The sequence below is a fragment of the Homo sapiens genome, chromosome 11 (assembly GCF_000001405.40).
Source record: "Homo sapiens chromosome 11, GRCh38.p14 Primary Assembly".
NCBI lineage: Eukaryota > Metazoa > Chordata > Mammalia > Primates > Hominidae > Homo > Homo sapiens.
In genome coordinates, this window is record NC_000011.10 from 47,710,137 (window position 1) to 47,726,338 (window position 16,202).

General features: G+C 42.9%; 2 protein-coding genes across 16 annotated transcripts in view, besides 1 other annotated feature; both read right to left on the bottom strand.

Moving 5' to 3' along the window:
- The window catches only part of AGBL2 (AGBL carboxypeptidase 2), a 55,779-nt gene extending 50,546 nt beyond the window's left edge, over positions 1-5,233 (bottom strand). The window contains exons 1-4 of the mRNA NM_024783.4: positions 5,039-5,233; positions 4,482-4,614; positions 4,148-4,211; positions 241-375 (exon numbers count right to left, since the gene is read on the bottom strand). Of these exons, the coding sequence (NP_079059.2) occupies positions 241-375; positions 4,148-4,211; positions 4,482-4,514 (232 nt within the window). The 5' untranslated portion in view covers positions 4,515-4,614; positions 5,039-5,233. The remainder of the gene's footprint in view (positions 1-240; positions 376-4,147; positions 4,212-4,481; positions 4,615-5,038) is intronic.
- Positions 4,911-4,970: an enhancer, noted in NCBI's record as "active region_4702". NCBI's record gives its function as "activates an Ori minimal core promoter by ATAC-STARR-seq in GM12878 lymphoblastoid cells {active_cell/tissue: GM12878}" and the evidence as "EXISTENCE:reporter gene assay evidence [ECO:0000049][PMID:35858748]".
- Positions 6,358-16,202, bottom strand: part of FNBP4 (formin binding protein 4) — a 50,848-nt gene continuing 41,003 nt past the window's right edge. For 9 of the 15 annotated variants that reach the window (NM_001441104.1, NM_001441106.1, NM_001441102.1 and 6 more), the window contains 5 exons: positions 14,332-14,642; positions 13,892-14,036; positions 12,840-13,180; positions 9,793-9,950; positions 6,381-7,376 (listed from right to left, as the gene is read on the bottom strand). In NM_001441104.1, coding sequence (NP_001428033.1) covers positions 7,286-7,376; positions 9,793-9,950; positions 12,840-13,180; positions 13,892-14,036; positions 14,332-14,642 — 1,046 coding nt within the window. In that variant the 3' untranslated portion in view covers positions 6,381-7,285. Of the gene's footprint in view, positions 7,377-9,792; positions 9,951-12,839; positions 13,181-13,891; positions 14,037-14,331; positions 14,643-15,600; positions 15,701-16,202 lie in introns of those variants that run through there. The other 6 variants (NM_015308.5, XM_047426655.1, XM_047426658.1 and 3 more) reach the window with 4 other exon arrangements.

Sequence of the window (16,202 nt, forward strand, 5' to 3'; positions counted from 1 at the left end):
CCTCAGCCTCCCAAAGTGCTGAGATTACAGGCGTGATCACCATGCCCGGCTAGAAAATACAGTATTTTGATTTAAACCTGTAATCCAAAGTAGATTTAGAGAGAAGTTTTGAATGGTGTTAGAAACAGAGGCCAAGGCTGCTCCCTGGCCTCTCCCATGTTAGAGCAGATTCTTCTGAATACTCAGAGGAGTTACTAGGCAATGAGGTTCTAGAGGTCACACATACTGATTGTTACTCACATAGAAGCTTCTCCTTTTGCAGGGTGTCTGGTATCAAATCATCTTTTTCCCCAAGAGAGCCATTCAACAGGCATTGAGGGTTATTCTTCCGAACATGCTGATGCGTAGCAGAGTTTGGTAAACTGCCTCTCTGAGCTAAAAATTGGCAGTTTAATTAAAGTTGCTGGAAGGCCGACTCATCACTTCTAACATCTAGGTCAATACCAAACCACTACTCCTTTTATCACCACCCACCACCACAGCCCTTTGCAATGAATACACTGCATTTTTCAAAGAGCTTTCATATTCCAACTTATGTGAGTGAAGCATAATTATCCCCACCTTACAGCTGAGGAAATGGATGTGAAGAGGAGACTTGAGAAGCAGCCTGGTGTAGTGGAGTGAGAAAGGACTTGGCAGGCAGAAAGATTCTGAAGCTACAAGGGCTGTGTTGGAACTCAGAAAATGATAGCCAAAGGCTGGGAGGGTTGCTTGAGCCTGGGATGTGGAGGCCACTGCCCTCCAGCCTGAGTGACAGAGCGAGATCCTGTCTCAAAAAAAAAAAAAAAGAAAAAAAAAATTATGGCCCAAAGGTTTGGCACTTTGGCATACTGAACACTTTGAATTCAACATAGAAAGGGTTCCAACCCTCAATAACATGCAGTTTACCCATGTAACAAACCTGCACATGTACCCTCTAATCTATAATAAAAGTTGAAAAAATAAATTAAAAAAAAAATAGAAAAGGCTTGCAGAAGCTGCCTCAGAATCAAGGACTTTCTGACCTCTCCTGTCTCCCCACTACCCCAAGAGCAGGAAGGGACTCCTCTCTGGAATTCCTTCTAAGGAAACTTCTTTCCAAAAGAAAAGCAGTTATTTTAAGACCCCTTCCCTAGGAATCTCATCAAATAACCACTAAAGATGAACCACCGAAGAGGAGACTAAAAATTGTCACGACACCCAGATAGACTTTTCATCAATTCTGAGGGCAACTCAGAGATTACCTGGGCAACTATTTGCATAAGACAACCTTTCTTCAGTGAAGCTCCTCCCCTCACTTGCTTGCCACCCCTCCCCGGAGCTCAGAGGAACTTTGTCCCAGGACATGGTTTTTGGAGCTCATTCGTTTCTCCTGAATATCATTTACTACCTTTCACAATTGCCTACACAACCCCTCCCTGAATGTCTCTCTCCCCATGAAGAGGGTATTGAAACTTCAACAATCTGGAGTGCAGTAGCGCAATCTCAGCTCACTGCAACCTCTGCCTCCCGGGTTCAAGCATTTCTCCTGCCTCCGCCTTCCGAGTAGCTGGGATTACAGGCGTGCAACACCATGCCCAGCTAATTTTTTGTATTTTTAGTAGAGGTAGGGTTTTGCCATGTTGGCCAGGCTGGTCTCGAACTCCTGACCTCAGGTGATCTGCCCACCTTGGCCTCCCAAAGTGCTGGGATTACAGGCGTGAGCCACCACGCCCGGCCTGAAGTTCTTGACTTTGTATGGAAAGTAAAAAATTGTATGATGACCAGCCTGAGCAACATAGTAAGACCATGTCTCTACAAAAAAAATTTTTAAATTAGCTGGGTGTGCTGGCATGTGCTTGTGTTCCCTTCTAGTTGGGAGGTAGGAGGATCGCTTAAGCCTGGGAAGTCAAGGCTGCAATGAGCTGTGATTGCAACATTGCACTCCGGCCAAGGCAAAAAACAGACCGTCTAAAAAATAAATAAATAAATATCATAATAGTTTTGCTGTCATACTTCATATTGCAAAAGTAATGGCCACAGTACATAAGTACTTAGTTATGGTGGAAAAGGCATTAAATTTGTGGGTGGAAGATAGAAGTCTGTTCTGAATGACAGTGATTTGGATTTAGTACTATCAGTGGTTTCAGGCCATCCAGGGGCCTTGGAACCTCCCCCCTGTAGATAAGGGGGGACTAATGTAGTTAATAAAAAAGTTTAACAACATTCTTTGATAGAAATAAAATTAATACTAATACAATGAATATTACTCCATCTTATTTCAATATACCAGTAACAAAGTTAGGAAATTAAATTTTAAGAAGATCAATATTTATAATAGCATAAAAATATGAAGTATTATGAAAAACTATAAATCTTTATTGGGAGACATTAAAGACCTAAGTAAATGGAGATAAATATTATAGTCATAGATTGGAGAACCCAGTGTTGAAAAATTGCCAGTTCTTGTGAAATTTGATCTACAGATTTAATGCAATTCCTATAATCTTTTAAAATGTCATAAGCGGGCTGGGGACAGTGGCTCACGCCTGTAATCCCAGCACTTTGGGAGGCCAAGGTGGGTGGATCACCTTAGGTCAGGAGTTCGAGAACAGCCTGGCCAACATGAGGAAACCCTGTGTCTACTAAAAATACCAAAATTAGGCCGAGCGTGGTGGCTCATGCCTGTAATCTTGGCATTTTGGGAGGCTGAGGTGGGTGGATCACCTGAGGTCAGTTCGAGACCAGCCTGGCCAACATGGTGAAACCGTTTCTACTAAAAATACAAAATTAGCCAGGCATGGTGGTACACGCCTGTAATCCCAGCTACCTGGGTACTTGGGAGGCTGAGGCAGGAAAATCGCTTGACCCCGCGAGGTGGAAGTTGCAGCAAGCCTAGATTGCACCACTGCACTCCAGCCTGGGCAACAAGAGCATAACTCCGTCTCAAGAATAAAAAAAACACTGGGCGCGGTAAGCTCACGTCTGTAATCCCACCACTTTGGGAGGCCTAGGCAGGTGGATCACCTGAGGTCAGGAGTTCAAGACCAGCCTGGCCAACATGTTGAAACCCCGTCTCTACTACAAATACACAAAAAAATTAGCTGGGAGTGGTGGTGGGCGCCTGTAATCCCAGCTACTTGGGAGGCTGAGGCAGGAGAATCTCTTGAACCCAGGAGGTGGAGGTCGCAGTGAGCCGAGATTGCGCCATTGCATTTCAGCCTGGGTGAAAAGAGTGAGACTCTATCGCAAAAAAAAAAAAAAAAAGAAAGAAACAAAAATTACCCAGGCGTGGTGGCTCGTGCCTGTAATCCCAGCTACTCAGGAGGCTGAGGCAGGAGAATCTCTTGAACCTGGGAGGCAGAGGTTGCAGTGAGCCGAGATCGTGCCACTGCACTCCAGCCTGGGCGACAGGGTGAGACTTCATCTCAAAATAAATAAAAAATAAAATAAAATGTCATAAGCCAATTGCAAAATTTATTTTTTTAAATTTTTATTTATTTATTTTTTTTGAGACAGAGTCTCACTCTGTCGCCCAGGCTGGAGTGCAGTGGCTTGATCTCGGCTCACTGCAAGCTCCGCCTCCCAGGTTCACGCCATTCTCCTGCCTCAGCCTTCCCAGTAGCTGGGACTACAGGCACCCACCACCACGCCCGGCTAATTTTTTTGTATTTTTAGTAGAGACGGGGTTTCACCGTGTTAGCCAGGATGGTCTCGATCTCCTGACCTCGTGCTCCACCCGTCTCGGCCTCCCAAAGTGCTGTGATTACAGGTGTGAGCCACCGTGCCCGGCCGCCAATTGTAAAATTTATATAGTAAGGCAAAGACTCAAGAACAGCCGTGACACTTCTGAAGAACAAGGTGGGAAGACATGTCTTTCCAGATAAAGACTATTTTAATGCCATATAGTAATTAAGAGACAGTGATACTGGTAAAGGATAGCCAAACAGACCAATGGAATAGAGAGCCCAGAAACAGACCTTTGTATTAAGTGATGCTGTCTACTTGACAGAGGTGACCCGCAGATCAATGGGGAAAGGAAGTACTTTTCACTAATGGTAGAGGAAAAAGTATTTATTTGTCAATGCAAATTATTTATTAGTCTACCCAAGTGCAACCCTCCCAGCTAACGAAGCAATTTTCCTCTTGAGTCCAGGAAAGGTGATACTAGATAAGAACATGGTATTACCTTTAAAGTAGCCATAATATTGGAGGTGACGGTACATAAAGTCTTCATAAGGATCAGGAATAGTCTGTGAAAGGAAAGGCCACTTCAATCAAGATAATGTTTTCAAACCATAATAGACTCAACAAAAAGTACATGAGCGTTGTTGCATAGGACTAGACTAAACCAAGCGAGCTGCATTCCATGCGAATTATTCTATCGTGGGGATCAAGATCTCCAGCTGAGAAAAGATGCCACCAGAACATCCCTTCTCATCTAGTAGCAGATTTCTGTGGAGTTCCCGAAGAAATGGAGTTCCCCGAAGAAATTTCTGTGGCTTTCCGTGTTGTGTACCGACCTGCTTTAGGTGCGTTTCCAAAGCTGGGAACATGTTACTTCTGGATGGTAGGCTGAAAACTAGTCAGTGACATTAGCATCCAGTCGCAAACCCTGCCCAATTTCCAAATAGGCAGCTGATTACACAAGAGAAGCTACAAAGCCACAAGAGGACAAGTGAAAAAACTGCCAATACCTCCCCGGGCGCCCCCCAGCTCCCTCTTGACTTCAGAAAACCCTGCCAACCCAGCTTCTCCTCAGCTAAACAAGGTGGTCACGCCGAGGCCAGAGGTGCATCTGAGACAGGGAGGGCAGCGTATCTTCCCGCTTCTTCTTCCCAAGGTGCTGGCCCCATGCTTCCCTTTCCCTGAGAAAGGAGATGCTCGCCACAGGAAAGTGAAAGAAATGGGTATGGGAGCACGCGACGAAGTCGTCTCGGTAGGTGCCGATGGAAAAAGGTCAGGGGGTTGGGAAAGTGGGCCCTAAAGATTGAATTTAGGGTTCAGAGGAACCTGGTCTGGGGCAGGTGGTGAGGGGGTTTCCTAAGGGTAGGAGCGGGGAAGGAGAGCAGAAACTTCCCAGGAGGGCAGAGCGATGGATGCGACCGCCTTCGCGCCCCGGCCCGTCCCAAGCAGCACGGATGGCTGCGGCAGAGAAGCTCCAGCGAGGCAGGCGGCCACCGCACTTAAGTACAGAGGCCAAGCAGTGTGCGGGCAAGGGGACAAACTCGCTGCACCCGCCCGCCACCGCCTTCTGTGAGGGCCCGGGTAGTCTAGCAACCGAAAGCAGGAAGCGGAGAAAGGGCGGGGCGGTCGGGCGCTTCCGGGGAGCTAGGCCTCGCCCCCAAGGAGGGAGCGGGGACCCCGGGAAGGTCTGCAACATGTATGGCGGGCAGCGGCTTTCTTCCCCTCATACATCACAGCCCCAGCCTCGGAATCGAAACCGCATTGATGAGTACGATGCCAGTAGCCTTCAACATACTTCCAAGCTGGTTTGCTGTTGGCTTTAGATAACTGTTATGCATAATTTGCTCTAAGAGAGCTGCTGCTTCTCTCCTTTCACCTTAACATTCTCTCCACTGCACAGCTAGAAAGGAAAAATTACCTTCTACACTGCAAATCTTAAGAAACAGAGCTAACAAATTCAAATCACACATTTTGATTAGGTTTAAAAAAATCAATTATATGCATAGAAATTTACTCCAGGCCAGGCGCGGTGGCTCTCGCCTGTAATCCCAGAACTTTGGGAGGTCGAGAGTTGGAGACTAGCCTGACCAACATGGAAAAACCCCATCTCTACTAAAAATACAAAATTAGCTGGGTGTGGTGGCGCATGCCTGTAATCCCAGCTACTCGGGAGGCTGAGGCAGGAGAATCACTTGAACCTGGGAGGCGGAGGTTGCGGTGAGCCGAGATCGTGCCATTGCACTCCAGCCTGAGCAACAAGAGCGAAATTCTGTCTCCAGAAAAAAAAAAAACAAAAAACCAACAACAAAAAAATAAATATACTACAATAAAATTCAAACACGTGTCTTTGGTTAACTATATATGAATATAACCGTATCTGTTACTTTTATCAGTGGGGGGAAAAAAGCTATAAAGCACCTTTTTTTCTGAAATGTTAACCATATTACATCATTGCCAGGAATTAAGTAGGTAAAATATTATCTAATATGGCTATTAACCAATCTAGATATTATAGATAATATTAGACCCCAAAACTTTGATCACACAGCACCATCTGGGACTAGAAGCCTGTTTGTCTAAACTGGCCCCACCACTCCCCATTAAAGATCTCCTGCTCATTTTCTTGAAAGCTGTTGTTAAATGTTTGCACCTTGCATTGTATATGCTTAGAAAAAAAAACAAGTCCTGGTTACATAATCAGAATAACAGGAGTTGACGAGCAAAAGGATAACCCATCAGGATTATAAAAAAAGCTTTATTAGTGCATATATACAAATTTACAAGGTCAGAAACTGGAGAAATACAAAGAGCTTTAAAACACAATTTGCCGTTTCCTCAGTTTAAAGTGACTTTTACCTGATTGTGATACAACAGAAAGTACAGAACAGTAAACTGCTTTTTAAATACTGGAATTTTATGGAGAATACATTCACATAAAGAAAGGAGGTGAATTTTGTTTTGGAACAGGGTTAAGACAATGGAGACATTAATACATAGAGTGTCTTGTTGTATTTACTGCCACATACTTGAGGGGAAATTCTCAAAATCAAGGATATGAACACCTGCTGCTGCCTGTATGCCACCTAGTGTGCGAAACGACCGAGCTACCAGTTCTAGAACTTATGAGAACTACTCTAAAGAGTGTGGCCATCTATCAGCACGAGGTAAACCACTTAGACCTCAGCACTTCAGGGGTGGCCGACTAGAGAAAAGAGGCCAGAAAAAGCTTCAGACAATTCCAGTCAAGCAAGGTAGAATGCAGAGCTGCCTTCTGAATTGCACTTGTTCTGGAGGAGAAGTTAATTCTTCACTTTTGTCAGGGAGTCCTCTACAGAAGTGTTATACTCATGAGCCACATGTTCTTCAAGACTGATGAGGTTAATACACCTAACATGCTAAGTTTGCCAGTTTGAGAATAAAGGCAGCATGGTCAAAGCAATTCCAATCACCTCATCCCTTTGCAAAAACAGAAAAATTACATTTCACAAAAGTGAAAACTTTGTATGCATACACTCTTGCCCAGGAAATTTATAAGATCTCCCCCATAACATTTATAGTTTATTTGACAATAAAACTGGTTAAGACTTTGAACTGAACACAAAACAAACAATAATACAAAAAAGTTTTAAAAACTTAAAAACTATGTGTTTGGAGCCATTTTCCTTCTCTTCAGCCTTGCTCTCCAATCCTCAGGAAGGGCTTCAAAATTAGCATTTCTCTCTGCCATGCCACTGTGAAAACAACATACAGATTATTTTAGTGGAAAGAAAAATTAACAAAAGTATTCATTTCCCAGCAAATAAAAATCTAACTGAAATTAAAAACCTGATCTATCACGTCTATGTTTATGAAAATCTTTTGTTTCTCAGCCAAACATCAGTATATTCTTCATCAAACTTCTTCATTCTGATAGGTCAACCAAACACTACCCCAGTTTTACGTATATGTCTAAGTGCATATTTATTTATTTATTATTGACTGATTGAGACGGAATTTTGCTCTTGTTGCCCAGTCTGGAGTGCAATGGTGCGATCTCGGCTCACCGCAACCTCCGCCTCCCAGGTTCAAGCGATTCTCCTGCCTCAGCCTCCCCTCAGAGTAGCTGGGATTACAGGCATGTGCAACCATGCCTGGCTAATTTTTTTTTTTTTTAAGTAGCGACAGGGTTTCTCCATGTTGGTCAGGCTGGTCTCGAACTCCCAACCTCAGGTGATCTGACTGCCTTGGCCTCCCAAAGTGCTGGGATTACAGGTGTGAGCCACCGTGCCCGGCCTTATTTATTTTATATAAATATACCTCCAATAACCATTAAAGGCACACTGAAGAAATGAAACACGTTCTATTAGAGTTTTTCTTAGCCCACAGGAGTTATGATTCTTCAGGGCAGATATATCTAATCCTCAGTCTACCAACAGGGACCCTGGGATCTAATGTTTTTTTTTCTGTTTTTGAGATGGAGTCTTGCTCTGTTGCCCAGACTGGAGTGCAGTGGCACAATCTCGGCTCACTGCAACCTCTGCCTCCTAGGTCCAAGCGATTCTCCTGCCTCAGCCTCCCAAGTGGCTTGGACTACAGGCGCCTGCCACCATGTCCAGCTAATTTTTATATTTTTAGTAAAGACAGGTTTTCACTATGTTGGCCAGGCTGGTCTCGAACTCCTGACCTCGTGATCCACCCACCTCGGCTTCCCAAAGTGCTGGGATTACAGATGTGAGCCCCTGTGCCCGGCCGGATCTAATGTTTTTGAGTTTCTCTTTCAAGTAGTTTTATTTGTAAGGATTAAAATTCAAATTCTATCTTGCAATTAACAGAATGGATGCATTAGAACCTTTAATAAAAACTAAGCTAGAACCTATCAGAGATTAATTTGAAATCTGGCATCAGTAATAGACAGCTATATTCTAGGTTATACACTGACAATTGATGAACAGTGAGTTGCAGTCAAAGAATGCTGCCCATTTCAGAATGTATACCTTCAAAACAAGGAAAATATGAAATAAAAAATTGTACTTGCTGTGTCTAAAGTCTTTAAAATTTCTAGAATTTTTGAGAAAGCCATCTTCTTGCCTCAGCCTCCCAAGCATCTAGGACTACAGGTGTGAGCCACAGTGCCCACCCAACATGTTTTTTTTTTTTTTTTTTGAGATGGAGTCTTGCTCTGTCGTCCAGGCTGGAGTGCAATAGCACGGTCTTGGCTCACTGCAACCTCCGCCTCGCGGGTTCAAACAATTCTTCTGCCTCAGCGATTACAGGCATTCGCCACCAGGCCCAGCTAATTTTGTATTTTTAGTAGAGATGGGGTTTCACCATGTTGGCCAGGCTGGTCTCGAATTCCTGACCTCGTGATCCACCCGCCTTGGCCTCCCAAAGTGCTGGGATTACAGGCGTGAGCCACCGTGCCCAGCCCAACATGTGCTTTCATCATAAAAAATATTTCTGACCTGAGTGTGGTGGCTCACACTTGTATTCCCAACACTCTGGGAGGCTGAGGTGCAATTACTTGAAGCCAGTTCTCCCTATCCTTTTATTCTAGTCAAGCAAGGTAGTGAAGGATTTTCTTACCTAGAAGAGGTTCATTTAGTTCCTAGTGTGGTGTGCTCTCTCATTAACTTCTGTTCTAGAATAAGTGCAATTGAGAAGGCAGCTCTGTATTCTACCCTGCTTGACTGAAATATAGGGACAGGGGAAAAACTTTATTCTAATTCTGTAAATCATTTGTACAATAATGTGTGTGTGTATAAAAGGGTCTAATTCTATAAATTATTTGTAAAATAAGTTAATATGTTATGTGTGTATGTGTGTGTGTGTGTGTGTGTGTGTGTGTGTGTGTGTGTATAAAAGGGTCCACTGGATCTAGATAGTAAATGATGTACTGAGAGTTAAGACAGGCCTTTGCCTAAGACCAACAATCAACTGGACAAAGTATTACAACTCTGTTGTTTCTGATTTTGAAAAAAGGCTAGCCCATAATTTCTATAAGGAATTAAACATGTTTATAAATTAGAAACCTTTAGATAAATTTACAAGCTGTGATTTTAAGAATATGTCTATTCTAATGCATCTATAACAACCACAACCTACTCCATCTCATAGTAGGTCTCAACCTACTCCAAAACCCCATCTCATCTGTGTTTCCTTTTCTTTTACCTAACCAGCTGCTGCTGTTTCCACTCTTCAATTCGCTTCTGTGCAGTTGATTCCCGATCCTCTTCACTGGAACTAGAATTGTCCTCTTCATCTAACTCACGCTGGATACTCTGCCACTTTTTTACCAAAGATGGCATTTTGGTCTTACTCTTCTTTGCCTGTAACAAAGGTTAAAGGTCAAAAGGAATAGAAAACATAAAATAAGGATAAGCGTCCTCTACAATGGAGGTCAGGATCCTTTTCCCAGTTCTAAAGAATATGCACACTTTAAAAAAGAAAGTAAATACCATTCTAAGTTCTTGCCATAAATTTCTTACCAATTATAAACAAAAAGGCTTGGTTAAAAATCTATAAAGCAGGCCAGGCGCGGTGGCTCAAGCCTGTAATCCCAGCACTTTGGGAGGCTGAGGCGGGCGGATCACAAGGTCAGGAGATCGAGACCATCCTGGCTAACATGGTGAAACCCTGTCTCTACTAAAAATACAAAAAATTAGCCAGACGTGGTGGCGGGCGCCTGTAGTCTCAGCTACTCGGAAGGTTGAGATAGGAGAATGGCATGAACCTGGGAGGCGGATCTTGCAGTGAGCCGAGATCACCACTGCACTCCAGCCTGGGCTACAGAGGGAGACTCCGTCTCAAAAAAATAAATAAATAAATAAATAAATAAATAAAATCTATAAAGCTTTGTAAATGCGGTATTTTATAAAATTATGTCATATAAACTTCCTTTAACCTCCCTATCCTATGTAATTCAAAATATTGCCTTTATCGCGTCTCAGAATTACAGTGTTCCCGTTTTCAAATTTTAAATAGATGCAGTGTTCCTCCCAAGTGATTTAAAAAAAAAAAAAAAAAGCTAAAAAATAAAGCTGGAAAGAGCAACAAAGCAAACTGCCATATTAGCCGGGGGCGGTGGCGGCGGCGGTGGGCGACTGTAGTCCCAGCTGCTTGGGAGGCTGAGGCAGGAGAATCGCTTCAACCCGGGAGTCAGAGTTTGCAGTGAGCCAAGATTGCACCATTGCACTGCAGCCTGGGCAACACAGTGAGACTCTGTCTCAAATAAATAAATAGCCATAATTAAATATGAAAAAAAGCAAACAGATTTTTAAAAATATCGGCTGGGCACGATGGCTCATGCCTGTAATCACTTTGGGAGGCCGAGGCGGGAGGATCACGAGGTCAGGTGATCGAGACCATCCTAGCTAACACGGTGAAACCCCGTCTCTACTAAAAATACAAAACATAAGCCTGGCGTGGTGGTGGGCGCCTGTAGTCCCAGCTACTCTGCACTTCAGCCTGGGCGACAGAGCAAGACTCCATCTCAAAAATAAATAAATAAATAAATAAAAATAAATAAATAAATAAAATAAAACATCAATGGGGCGAGGCATGGTGGGTCACACCTGTAATCTCAGCACTTTGGGAGGCCAAGGTGGGTGGATCACTTGAGGCCAGGAGTTTGAGACCAGCCTGGCCAACATGACAAAAACCCACCTCTACTAAAAATATAAAAAATACAAAAATTAGCCTGGCATGGTGGTGCACATGCCTGTCGCCCCAGCTACTCAGGAGACTGAGGCATGAGAAGTGCTTGAACTGGGAGGCAGAGGTTGCAGTGAGCTGAGAGCATGCCACTGCACACCAGCCTGGGTGACAGAGACTCTGTCTCCCCTCCCCCTGCCAAAAAAAATCAATGATACAGTTAGTTCTAAGAGAAGGTATAATGATATAATATTTTTTCTTTTCGCTTACCTTCATTGTCTAAATCGTCTATAATAAACATACAGATTTTTTGCCCCTTTTCTTGAGACTCCGTTTCAAAAGGTGGTATTTGTAAATGTGGTATTTTATAAAATCAGGTCATATAAATTTCCTTTAACCTCCCTACCCTATGCAATTCAAAATATTGCCTTTATCTCGTCTCCTCAGAATTACAGCGTTCCCATTTTCAAATTTTAAATAGATGCAGCATTCCTATCAAATGATTAAAAAAAAAAAAAAAGCTAAAAAATAAAGCTGGAAAGACCAACAAAGCAAACTGCCATATTAGCTGGGGGTGGTGGCGGATGTCTCTGACTCAAAAAAAAAAAAAAAAAAAAAAAAAAAAAAAAAAAAAAAAAAAAAAGGAAAAAAAAATATTTCTCATAGATTTATTTTTCCCTTATCTACTCCCAAGCCACCCCCTGCCAGAAGAAAGGTTCTACAAAAGCAGAGGGTTTTTTTTTTTTTTGTCTGTTTGATGTACTGCTAAATCCTAAGCCCCTAGGGAGAGTATCTGACAAATATATTAGATATTGATAAGACCAATTTTTATCCCCGTTTTTCTTTTTTTTTTTTAAGACAAAGTTTCACTTTTGTCACCCAGGCTGGAATGCAGTGGTGCGATCTCAGCTCACTGCAACCTCAGCCTCCCAGGTTCAAGCGACTCTCCCGCCTCAGCCTCTTTAATAGCTTATCCCTATGCTTTTTAAGAGAAGCAGTTGTATGTTTGAAGACCCGTCTGGGTGATGCTGGCTCAACAAGTAGGAGTTGACATGACTGAGTGCTGTACTCATGTGAGGACTAGGTATGGGGGCCCAAGCTGATTCTCCTCCCAGCACTTGAGACAAACAGATTTCTTAAATAAGGTCCCCCCACTGAGAAAGTAAGCTGGACATTTCAATTTCTTTTTTCTTTTTTTGAGATGGAGTCTTGCTCTGTCACCCAGGCTGGAGTGCAGTGCTGTGATCCTGGCTCACTGCAACCTCTGCCTCCTGGGTTCAAGCGATTCTCCTGCCTCAGCCTCCCAAGTAGCAGGGATTACAGGTGCGTGCCACCAGGCCCAGCTAATTTTTGTATTTTTAGTAGAGACAGGGTTTCACCATGTTGGGCAGGCTGGTCTCGAACTCCTGACCTCAGGTGATCTGCCCGCCTCGGCCTCCCAAAGTGCTGGGATTACAGGCTTAAGCCACAGTGCCCAGCCTGAAAATGGATAATTTCATGTTATGTGAATATAACCTCAATAAAATTTTTAAAAATAAATTTTTAAAAAGGGAAATTTATTATACCTTGTCTTTCCTTCCTTTTTTTGTCTTTTCAGGTGGTGGCATTTTGGGAGCTGGTGGTGGTGGAGGAGGAGGAGGAGGAGGTGGTGGTGGTGGTTCTATAATGGTAGCGGTAGGCACAGCACCTCGGGCCTGAACTGGCTGCAATGAGGGAGCAGTCACTCCAATTGGGACAGAACATTCTGCATAACTCATAATTGCAGGTGCTGCCGCTAGTCCAAGGTAATTTGACTGCAGGCTCATTCCTCTGGCCTGATGACCCATTCCTGCTGCTGGAAGGCTAACTGGTATTGTCTGATGTCCAATTCCTGTTGCCTGGTTTCCAATCCCTGCTGCCTGGTGACCTAACACAGAAAACATAAAATGATACTATAAAAAGGACATCATGACAAGAACAGATGCAATGAAAAGAGAAGTGGGGATTAGATCACATAGAAAATGATTCCAATATATCCTTTTCTAAAAAGCATAGCCATATTTGCTGGTAGCAAAATATATTAATTTTGAATACCTTGGCATTAAACTACCTAAACATCGAAATCATCAATGTACATAAATATACAAGACAATCTGGAAGCATATGTGCTGAACGTTTTTTGTGTTTTTGAGACAGAGTTTTGCTCTGTCGCCCAGACTGGATGAAGTATAGCAGTGTGATCACAGCTCACTGCAGCCTCAACCTCCAGGGCTCAAGTGATCCTCCCACCTCAGTCTCCTGAGTAGCCGGGACTACAGGTGCAGACTACCATGCCTGGCTATTTTTGGTCTTTTTTGTAGACAGGCTTTTGCCGTGTTGCCCAGGCTGGTCTCCAACTCCTGAGCTCAAGCAATCCGCTTGCCTCAGCCTCCCGAAGTGCTGGGATTATAGGTGTGAGCCACTGTGCACGGTCAGCTAAACTGTCAAAAGTTTTTTTTTTTTTTTTAAGTAAAATAAATGCATACTGACAGTCTTTGCAATCAAGAGCCTTTAACATTTCTTTAGTTTTTATGGCATCTAATGCTGAAAAGAAAAGAAACAATACATTGAGGAAAAACCACGCTCTATGCACAATTACCTGTAGCTATAGCTGACTGGCTATAGAGAACTGGAGAACTGCCAATGGTAGCTGACCTCTGAACCACTGCAGTGCTAATTTCTGTAGCTTTCCTCTTTATTCCTTTAGTGGAAGAAGAACTAGAGATGGTGGAATCAACTGAACTCTGAAACACAAACATTTGTTATCAGTGGCTGAAGGCCATGGTTAAACATAGCCCGCTCCCACCTCCTTTTTTTGAGACAGGCTCTCATTCTGTTGCACAAGCTGCAGTGGTGAGATCATGACTCATTGCAGCCTCCTGGGCTTAAGCAATCCTCCTGCTTCGACCTCCCAAAGGTCTAGGATATAGGCGTGAGCCACCGTGCCCGGCCTTTAAACATATGCTTCTAAAATAAAACATGGTGTCAATCATGTTCCAGTCCTCAAAATCACTCAGAATGCCAAAGGGAATTACTTACCTGGCTAGTTACAACTGTGGTTTGTGCTGAAGGTTTCAAAGGGGTATCTTCCTCTGTTCCTGGGGCAGGGGGCTCCTCACTTCCCTCATCCTCCATCTCTACCTCCTGGATCTCACCATCTTCCGCAGGAGGAGGTGGTGGAGGAGGGGGTGGAGGTGATTCTGGAGGTGGAGGTGGGGGTGGTGGCATTTCCAAGGGTAATGGAGGTTGAAGCACAGGAACATTTGACTGAAGGAGGGTCCAGAATGGAGTAAGTGGCATGAGTGATGAAGAAGAAACTTGACCAGAAAAGGATTCTTTACAAAGAGAACCTATGAAAACAGGTAAGAGTCAGGGAAAAAGCAAGAAAAAAACTCCCTGGCTTATATTCATAGAAATGTTCAACTGGTCAGTAAGATAATCATTTATAGGAACCTAGCACAGTGTACAAAACAATACAGAATGTGGTGTCAAACAGCAGGGAATGGCTCCTTCCTTGAAAAAAATTTGGCCCACAGGCATCTATTCTATACTGATATCGCTAAAATATTGAACAACTCAGTTCAGAAATGACTTCCACGGAAAGATAAATTTATGAACTTCATAGCACCTTCCCCATCTGTATTATACTTGTCCTTCGGGTCCATATTTATGGATGAGTAGAAGAATATTACATCAACTCAACGAGAAATGCAGTCATCTGAATCTGTAGTTTGAAGTTTTTGATTTCAAACACTCACAAGCTTCAACATACACAAATAAAAGGTAATAGTCTGGAGTCTATTTCAAAAGTGAAGGAGTGAGTGAATAATGTGCACCTGCAGTAATTATTACACATACTTTATTTTTTAGTGAGCTAGACAAAGTGAGTAAAGACAACCCAGAATATTCATTCAAAATACTCGGGAAAGTTCTACCCATTGTGTTTAATTTGGGTTACTAAATTTAAAAAATCCATTTGCAAGGTGCTACTGTCAACTATATCATTCCTTCACACCCTTGCATACATTACATTCATTTGTGATATCACAGAGACACAAGTTAGGGATGGCAATTTTTACTTTTGCGATAAAAGAGAAATTTAGGAAGATAAATCTTCAAAGTATATAACTCAGATTTTTTAAAACTGCAGTGGTTTTGAAATTGCTGTTGCTGAAGTCTACATTACGAAATTGCAGCTGAAAAGTTGCAGGATCAGCTTTCCTCAAACTTTGTAAAAGCCATCATTGATTACTGTCTTTTCTCTGCTGGGAAAACCTTTAAAGATTAGAGAAAATAGGATATACTTACTTGTAGCCTTCCCCAGCCCTCTTTATCGTCAATAGGGAAGTTTCACAATATATGGGACTATTAGATATATATCCCAGGAATGTTGAAGGGGATTTTCTCCCTAAAATCATAGAATTTAGGAGTAGAAGAGACATGAGAAATCATCTATTTCAACCTCCTCAGTTAAAGGTAATGAAACCCAGGCAGGAACTAACTTGCCCAAGATCATATCAATGTTAGTGGCCAGACCAGAGCTAGAACTCAAGTCTGATTCCTCATCTGATACTTGCTGTTTTACTAAGATGTCCTGGTGAGATACCAGGAATCCAAGAGCTTTAGACATCTCAGTCAAAAAAAATATCACTTCACCTGGAGTAGATACCCAGAAGAAGTCACCTGTTAAATTTCATGGTCAAAAGTGGTAGATTAAATAAGGCTCAATTATGAAAGACTCTAGGGCAAGAAGGCCATTTACACTGCTTTGCTCAAAATACACACTGGCACTCAACAAGGTAAAACAAACAAAGCAACCATGAGCCATTTGGGTCTTGCTCTGTTGCCCAGGCTGGAGTGTAGGTGGTGCGATCATAGCTCATTCTAACCTCAAACACTTGGCTCAAGCG